Genomic DNA, 8,397 nt, shown 5'->3' on the forward strand with positions numbered 1-8,397 from the left:
AACCCAGTTCATAGGTAGCAGACTTTGAAGAAAAGAAAATGTAATATTTGTTGAGCATCTAATATGTGGTAAGTATTTTTGCTTCCATTGTTGTATTGAACACTCACAAAATACTTCTATTTTATAGTGGGGGAACTGTGGCCCAACGAATTGAAGCAACAAGGCCAAGATCACACAGACAGTGTGATGTAAACCCAGGTCAGTGTGTCCCTTTTTGCCAAGAGAGTGACAGAAAACCATAGATGGTTTAGGGTGACAGCAACCAAAGGATGGCAGGGGAGGCAAGCGGGAGTGATGAGCTAGGGTGGTGGGGGTTGCTGGGGGACTGAGAGTGAGGGTCAGAGGAGACTGGGGTGCAGACAAGGTAGGCTGAATGGTCTGTCAGAGAAGAGGTGAGAAGATAAGGGAGTGGGCAGCCCAGAGACGCTTTGCAGGTGAAGGCCTAGTCATGGAACTTGTGGCCTCAGTGAGGTGGCAACAGGTCAGGTGCTGGTTTGTGGACCTTTAGCACTTGGGAATTAAGATCCTCCTAAGAATCTGGCAGGTGAGTCCCTCCAAGGAGGTTCCCAGCGCTCTCCTCTGTGCTTTGTCTTCTGTTCCTGAGGCTCACCCCATCATCTCGGAGCTTCTTGAGAGGTGAGGACTCCCGGGGCCTGTCTGGAGGTTGGCCAAGATGTCATGTTCTGAGTATTTGCAGGATGGGTGCAGTGGAACTGAAGGAATCACAGAGCAGCGAGGTCACGCCTGTGTGCTGGGTGTCAGGTGCCCCGAGGAGGCTCCCAGTTTCTGTCCTAAGGGTGGCCTGGAGGAGGGGTTCAGGTTTGGAGTCTCTGGGGTGCTCACAGAGCTGGTGCTCCTCTCCTCACGAGTGGGTGGCTATGGGCAGCCGGCTGCACGTCCTACTCACCACCCAGTTCTTTCTTGTGGTCCTGTGGTCCTGGCTGGATGGCTGGGCCTCCTCCTTCCCCGGTGCCTTGGTGACTCACATAACCCCGCCCCACCACAACACACACATCCCTCCCCACCAACACAAACACCCCACATTTACCCCACACAACTACTGGGCAGCCCCACAAGAGAGCCCCAGGTTGGATGGAGGGAAGACTGACTCCTCCCAGCTGTGGAGCCGGGGCAGCTCTCCCTGTCAAGCTGCTCTGAGGGGCTGGGATCAGGATCCCAGCAGCTCCTTCATTTCTTGTTCATTCTTGGCTTAAAATATGTATATTTGTGGGGATAGCACACATAGAGAGAAGCCAGAGCCTGAAATTTTGGAACTGCAGTTCAACAAGCAGAAATCTCTAGCCGAGTCATCTCATCTCTCTTTGCCTGAGTTTCCTTATCTGTAAAATGTACATAATGCTCTCTTGCAGGGTGATGGAGAGGATCAAACAAGATAACAAAAGCCAAAGTGTGTGTGAACTGTAATCAGAGTTTATAGTTTACAAACATATAAATAGTCATTCATTCATTCATCCATTTAACAAAGGCTGGTGAAAGCCTTATTAAGCACCAGGCAGTGTCCTGAGCCTTTTACAAGCATTAACTCATTTGATCCTCCTAACAACCCTATGAGGATGGTGCTAGGATTGCCCCCCATTTTATAGACGAGGAAACTGAGACACAGAGGATTTAAGTAGCTTGCTCAATGCCATCTGGTTAGTAAATGGTACAGCTGGGATTCACACCTAGTCCTCTTTGATCAACTCAAGAGTATTCCATTCATTCATTCAGGAAACATTTATTAAATAGTTTCTCTTTTTTTTTTTTTTTTTTGAGACAGAGTCTCGCTCTGTCACCTCGGCTGGAGTGCAGTGGCATGATCTTGGCTCACTGCAGCCTCCACCTCCCGGGTTCAAGCAATTCCCCTGCCTCAGCCTCCTGAGTAGTTGGGACTACAGGCATGTGCCACCACGTCTGGCTAGTTTTTGTATTTTTAGTAGAGACGGGGCTTCACCATGTTGGCCAGGCTGGTCTTGAACTCCTGGGCTCAAGTGATCCTCCCGCCTTGGCCTCCCAAAGTGCTGGGATTACAGGCGTGAGCCAACACGCCCGGCCAAATGCTTTCTCTATGTGAGTCCCTGGGCCCACGGAAAGGAACCAGAGCTGGTGAGGGTGGTTGAGGTTGTTATCCAGGGACAGAGGTAGCTTTCTGAGGGTGGAAGTTGGATATGTGGGGCGGAGGAAGGGTTGCAAATTTTGGTTGTTAGCCAGCTAAGATTTCTGCCCTGCGCAGGACAGTCCTACACACATTGTCAACAGCACCCCATTGAGAAAATATTCAAGAAAAGAGCACAGGCATTGGAGTCATTCCAGACCTCGGCCAAGTCCCAGCCTTACCATTCCAAGACTGTGTGACTTGGACAAGTCGCTTTACGTTCTTAGCCTCAGTTTCCACCTCTGAAAAACATGATTGGAGACATTATGTATGTGAAGTACCAGAAGTATCTAGCATGCCTTGGTTGCTCAATAAACACGAAGGTCTTTTCCTGCTTAAGCAAATACCAAGAAGTATGGAGAAGAAGCAGTTTTGGCTTCCGGCATCCTTGCAAACCCCTCTCCCTCTCTCTTGAGGAGGTCTGAAGCAAGCTAGGCTCTGGACATGCAAGAGTGCCCTCACCACATGGCCCTCCCCCTTCTCTCCATCCAGGCCCAGGACCCAGGGCCAGTAAGGCTCCTAACCTACCAGCTCCGAGGCTCCAGACAAAAGACACTTCCCCTCTTGGAGCTTTGGATTCTTTGTCAAATGGAGAAACGCAGTGCTGGTGGTCATCAGCTGTTTCTGCCTGTCCCGTGCCCCTTCCCTCTTCTTTGGGTGACTGCACCCAGTTTTCTTTTCTTTTCTTTTCTTTTTTTGAGACAGAGTCTCGCCCTGTCACCCAGGCTGGAGTGCAGTGGCGCGATCTTGGCTCACTGCAAGCTCTGTCTCCCGGGTTCACGCCATTCTCCTGCCTCGGCCTCCCCAGTAGCTGGGACTACAGGCGCCCGCCACCTTGCCCAGCTAACTTTTTATATTTTTAGTAGAGACGGGGTTTCACCGTATTAGCCAGGATGGTCTGGATCTCCTGACCTCGTGATCCACCCGCCTCAGCCTCCCTGAGCTGGGATTACAGGCATGAGCCACTGTGCCAGGCCGACTGCAACCAGTTTTCTATTGGGGAACATCCTGCTCCCATTCTCAGTCGCCTGGGCATGTGGTCTGGGACTGGCCAGTCAGCATGCGGACATTCCATCTTCCTGTTCACAGCCGTTGGTTCAGGTATAGGTGCATGAGCTAGCCCTGGAGCAATTACAAGTGTCCCAGGAACTCCTGGTACCAAGAAAAAGGCCAAGAGACAGGCATTCTCTTACCATATGGGATTGGGGCATGAGAACAGTGTAAGCCTGGAGCTGCCTGAGACCTCTGTAACATCACTTGGGGAGCACCTGCCTGAGGATGAAGCCAACAAGAGGAAAAGGAGAAGGAGATGAGAGGGAGAAGAAGAGAGGTGGGGTGGAGAGAGAGAGGGGCAGCGGTGGGTAGGAGAGAGAACCTGATATGATTTCTGGATACAGCCTTGCCTGTCTATGGATTTTCAGCTTGAGAGAAAATACTTCCCCTTCTTTTGCAAAAATTAGTTAGAATTGTGTCTGTTGCTTGTAATAGAAATAATCTTCACTTATTCAGGGGCTAAAAACACCTACGTTGGCCAGGCACGGGGGCTCACACCTGTAATCTCAGCACTTTGGGAGGCCAGGGCGGGCAGATCATTTGAGCTCAGGAGTTCAAGATCAGTTTGGGTAACATGGTGAAACTCTGTCTCTAGAAAAACAAACAAACAAAAAACAAACAACAACAACAACAAAACAAAACAAAATCAGCCAGGCTTGGTGGTGAGTGCCTGTAATCCCAGCTACTTAGGGGGCTGAGGTGGGAGGATTGCTTGAGTCTAGGAGGTCGAGGCTGCAGTGAGCCGTGATCATGCCATTGCACTCCAGCTTGGGCAACAGAGTGCGGCCTTGTCTCAAAAAAACAAAACAAAACAAAACAAACATAAAACATCTACATCAAAAAATTGCTGTGTAGATCAAAAGGGAAGATAACGTAAGCAAAAATGTTTCTTTATACTGTATATGGCTGAATGACGGTAAGTTATTAATGAAGTGTTAAAGCAGGAACGCGCATTCCATGCAACTGACGAGTCAGTCAGTCCAGTTCTGTTTGAAAGGCTTGAGAAAATGGACTTTTACGGTTCTTGCCTGAGAACAGAAGGAGTTTTTGGAAGTGTGGATTCTTGTCCCCTAAATTATCAGTTCAATGGGAGTAGGTTTTCTAAGGAGGAGGTGTCCTTGCATTGGGTCACACTGTTTCTTATGTGATTTGTTCCAAGGTCGCTTACTTTACAAGAGGCCATAGCACAGTGAGGAAAGATACCTGGCCTGTTTGGGCAAGTCCCTTCCTGGCTTTGAGTCTCTGATTTTGTCACCTGAGTGGGGCTGGATTGGGCCTTCTCCTAGGGAGCAGCTGGCTCTGACCCACTGTGGTCTTGCTATTCCCAGACCTTATCTTGGGACAAGAGAAGTCTGCTCACTTCTGCTGTCTGCAGCATGCACTGGTTACTGGATTCTCCAGAGAAGCCACCCGTCAGAAACCACAGCTCATGCTAGAACGAGGCTCTTTCTGGAGTCTGGGAGACATTTCCGACTCACTGTCCCTTCCCTGTCTATTCCAAAAAATTCGATTTCTCAACCTGCTTTGCAGCCAAGTGAGGCCACGTGACACGGTTCTGGTGAAAGAAATATAAAGTGGAAATCTCCTGAGGCTGTCTCTTCCCTTTCCAACCTTTTCCTGTTTGGAACATGGGCATGAAGTGCTAACTGCAAGGACACAAACTATTTTGAGGATGACGGAGCGGAAAGATGGAAAGAATCTGGACTCCTGATGGCACTGCTGAGACGCCGAGAAGCCACAACAGGGCTGGGCTGCTTACCTCTGGACTTCTTGTCATCTGAGAGAAATAATTCTCCCTCCTTTTTTGGGCTTAGGCCTCCATATTTGGGGTTTTTGATATATGTAACCACATGCATTCCTGATACACTAAGCTAGCACTTGCCTGCAACCATTCTCTCTTTCTCTTTTGTTTTTTTAGAGAGATGGAGTCTTGCTAAGTTGCCCAGGTTGGTCTTGAACTCCTGAACTCAAGCAATCCTCCCACCTTGGCCTCCCAAAGTGGGATTACAGGCATAAGCCACCGCGCCTGGCCGCTATTCTCTCTTAAATTCTTTCTAAGCGTCTAGTCCAACTTTTTTTTTTTTCTTGCCTTTGGGGCCATAATGACAGAATTGGAGTAATTTTATACTTATTAATTATAATAATTCTACCAGTAATTATTACTTACTGAGTGCCTCCTGAATGTTAGGAATTGAGCTAAGTGATTTTATTCTCACAACGGTCCCAGGAAACAAATACTATTATTTTCCTCATTTTCAGATGAGGAAACTGAGGCTCAGAGATGACAAATGACTGGTTCAAATTCACACAGCTAGAATTGAAGCTGGGCTCTGAACCCAGGTCTGCCTTACGCCAAAACTCCTGCTCTTCATCCTCAGCATGGCTAGTTCACCAAGCTTAGTTAACAGGTAGGGAAACTGAGGTCCAAGAGGAAGAGTTACTAGCTCAAGGTCATGCAGTGATTTCAGGGGGTCATGTTACAAGAAATCAGACAGACTGGGTCCCCATTCCAGGGCTCTTTCTATGATATCCTGCTGCTTAGCAAATGGCAGGGCCTGAAGTCCAGGCTGAGGTCTGGGGATGATGGGAGCTATTGAATGTTCTAAGCAGAATTAGGAGAGTGTTCCACATGCCAGACGAGGGTTGTGGAAACACTTCCTCTTCCTTCAACTATGGTGGAGAAGGAAGTGGGGTGAGAGGACTTGTATTTTACAGCCCCATAAACTTCCTGAGCAACGTCCCCTAGCCAGAGAATGGCTCTTTCCCCTGGTTTGTCCGTCACAGGTGGCTGAGTCCCCTGATCCCAGGAGCTGATGTCTGAGGCTCTGCGGATTACACTGATGGTGGGGGCTGGCTGGGGAGGATGCCATGGTGTGACCACTCAGCCATCCTGTGCCAAGCAGATGGTGCTGGCTGTCTAGTGGAGAGGTCTGCGGGACAGGGCACCTGCAGTGGAAACTCCCCAGATGAACTTGGGGACTCTCCACTTAGAGTCTCCTGCTTGTTTATCTTCTTGGCCCATTCCTGGCAGGATTTGGGTGTTTGTTTAAGGATTCAGGGTTTGAGATCCAAGATAACCAGCGATGAGCGTAATAGGGAGTTACACTTGTAAATGTTGAAATCATACAGGCCATGGCTCAAATCCCAGCTCTACCACCCATATATAGCCTGTGGTATAGGCTATAGCAAGTCAGTTAATTTTCCTGTTTATAAAAATGGAGACAAGAGGAACATCTACCTCATGGGGCTGTTAGGAGTTATAAAGGGGATGATGCACCAAAAATCTTTAGCATAATGTCTGCCACATGGTAAGTGCCCCAGAAGTGGTTAAAACTCCTCCCACTTTTCTTCCTCTCTGCATAATCTACGGACATCTTTGAGCCTCATTTTCCTCTTTGCACAATGGGGATCATGATACCTTCTTCTTCCAGCAATTGTGAGGGTTTCCATGAGAAAGGGATGTAAACGCATTTGGTAGGCCGGGTGTGGTAGCTCATGCCTGTAATCCCAGCACTTTGGGAGGCCAGTGTGGGAGGATCACTTGAGCCCAGGAGTTCAAGACCAGCCTGGGCTACATAGTGAGACCCCCGTCTCTACAAAAAAACAAATAAAACAAAATTAGCTGGGCATAGTGATATGCACCCGGTAGTTCCAGCTACTCAGGAGGCTGCGGTAGGAGGATCACCTGAGCCCAGGAGATCAAGGCTGAAGTGAGCCAAGTTCGCACCACTGCAGTCCAGCCTGGGCAACAGAGTGAGACCCTGACAAAAAATAACCAAAACCAAAACCAAAACATTATTTTGTGACTCTCAGTTCTCAGCTTCTCAGCTGAACTATGTTGCTTAAATTGGATCCCACACATCGCTCCACAAGCCGACTACCACCCTAGCGAGCCTTTCTGTTTCCTTTTAACTTCAAACACTCGTTGGTTATGCTGGGGCTTGGGTACAGGTACCCGGTATTCCAGAACAAAAGGGTTGGGCCTTGAAACCTGACTCTTACTGGTTGTGCATCTTGGACAAGCTGCTTCAACACTGGGCCTCACTTTCTTTCTCTGTAAATGGAAGTGATGATACTGACTTTATAAGGTTGTTGAGAAAAATCACATGTAACAGTGCATTTAAAACACATAGCATTCTACCCTGCACATAGTAGATATTCAAGAAATATTAGCCATTATTATTATTACCTCCAATGGTCAACCCTAGCCTGGTTCTGAGTAGGTAAAGAGGAGGAGGAAGGGAATTTTTCATGCAACCCTCTTGCTCAGGTAGGGAGTAGAAGCGAGGGCCAATAAAGAACTAGCATTGAGCTCCTACTGAATGCTGGGGATGCTCACAGGGACTATCTTACTTCATCCTCACAACAACTCTTGCAAGAGTGGCATTATTAACCACGTTTTTACAGGTGGGGGAACTGAGGTCCACAAAGGGCAGTTTGCTGCTTAAGGTCACACTGAGAGGTCAGGTGGGGTGGAGGACTGGGATTTGAAGAGATATTGGATTGAGTCCAGAGCCTTCCTGCCTGACTGAGAAGCTGCCTACACAGGTGGGGCCGGGTGGGGCTGGGTCCATGAGTGATTCAGGTAAGAGTCAGCTCTGGTTTTCCAAATAGTGGGTGGGGCCCAGCAGGAGTGAGACCTCTCCAGGAGCATTACAATCCAGGCTGTAGCTAGGGTGAGCAGGAGGGCACGTGATTGGTGTGGATAATGGGGAGGGGGCTATGCAGAGAGAAATCCTATCCCTTGTTACCAGTGGGGTATAGGGAAGGAGGTCCTTGCTGCCTTAGCTGGGAAGGGCTCAGGGCCTGGGGTGAAGCTGGGCCTGTGGGACAGCTGGGGGTGCTGGCCCATGGGACAAGCTGGAGAAGGCAGGGAAACTGAGGCAGGCAGTGATACTTTTGGTGGCCGTCACAGCAGATGGGTGGTTGGCAGTCACTTCGATGAGGCTGGTGCTGGACCTGGTCTGTTTTTTTAATGCATTCACTACTCTTTTAGATACTCATTCATTTCTTTGTTCAAGCAACAAACATTCCCTGGATGTCTTTTATCCGCCAGATCCTATGCTTGGCCTTGGGGCTACAAGAGTGACCAGGACTCTTATAGCCTCATAATGTTTGGGGGCAGAGGGACAATGTGATCAGGAGTGGCACTGCTGTGGCCAGGGAAGGCACAGGGGCTTCCTAGAGGA

The 8,397-nt window shown here is 48.9% G+C and overlaps 1 annotated feature.

Annotated features, from left to right (window-relative positions):
• Positions 3,547-4,746: an enhancer, noted in NCBI's record as "BRD4-independent group 4 enhancer chr9:125126021-125127220 (GRCh37/hg19 assembly coordinates)". NCBI's record gives its function as "activates an origin of replication core promoter dependent on BRD2, P300/CBP, MED14 and CDK7 cofactors, and independent of BRD4, by STARR-seq in HCT116 cells {active_cell/tissue: HCT116}" and the evidence as "EXISTENCE:reporter gene assay evidence [ECO:0000049][PMID:35650434]".

Source organism: Homo sapiens, chromosome 9, assembly GCF_000001405.40.
Source record: "Homo sapiens chromosome 9, GRCh38.p14 Primary Assembly".
Taxonomy (NCBI): Eukaryota; Metazoa; Chordata; class Mammalia; order Primates; family Hominidae; genus Homo; species Homo sapiens.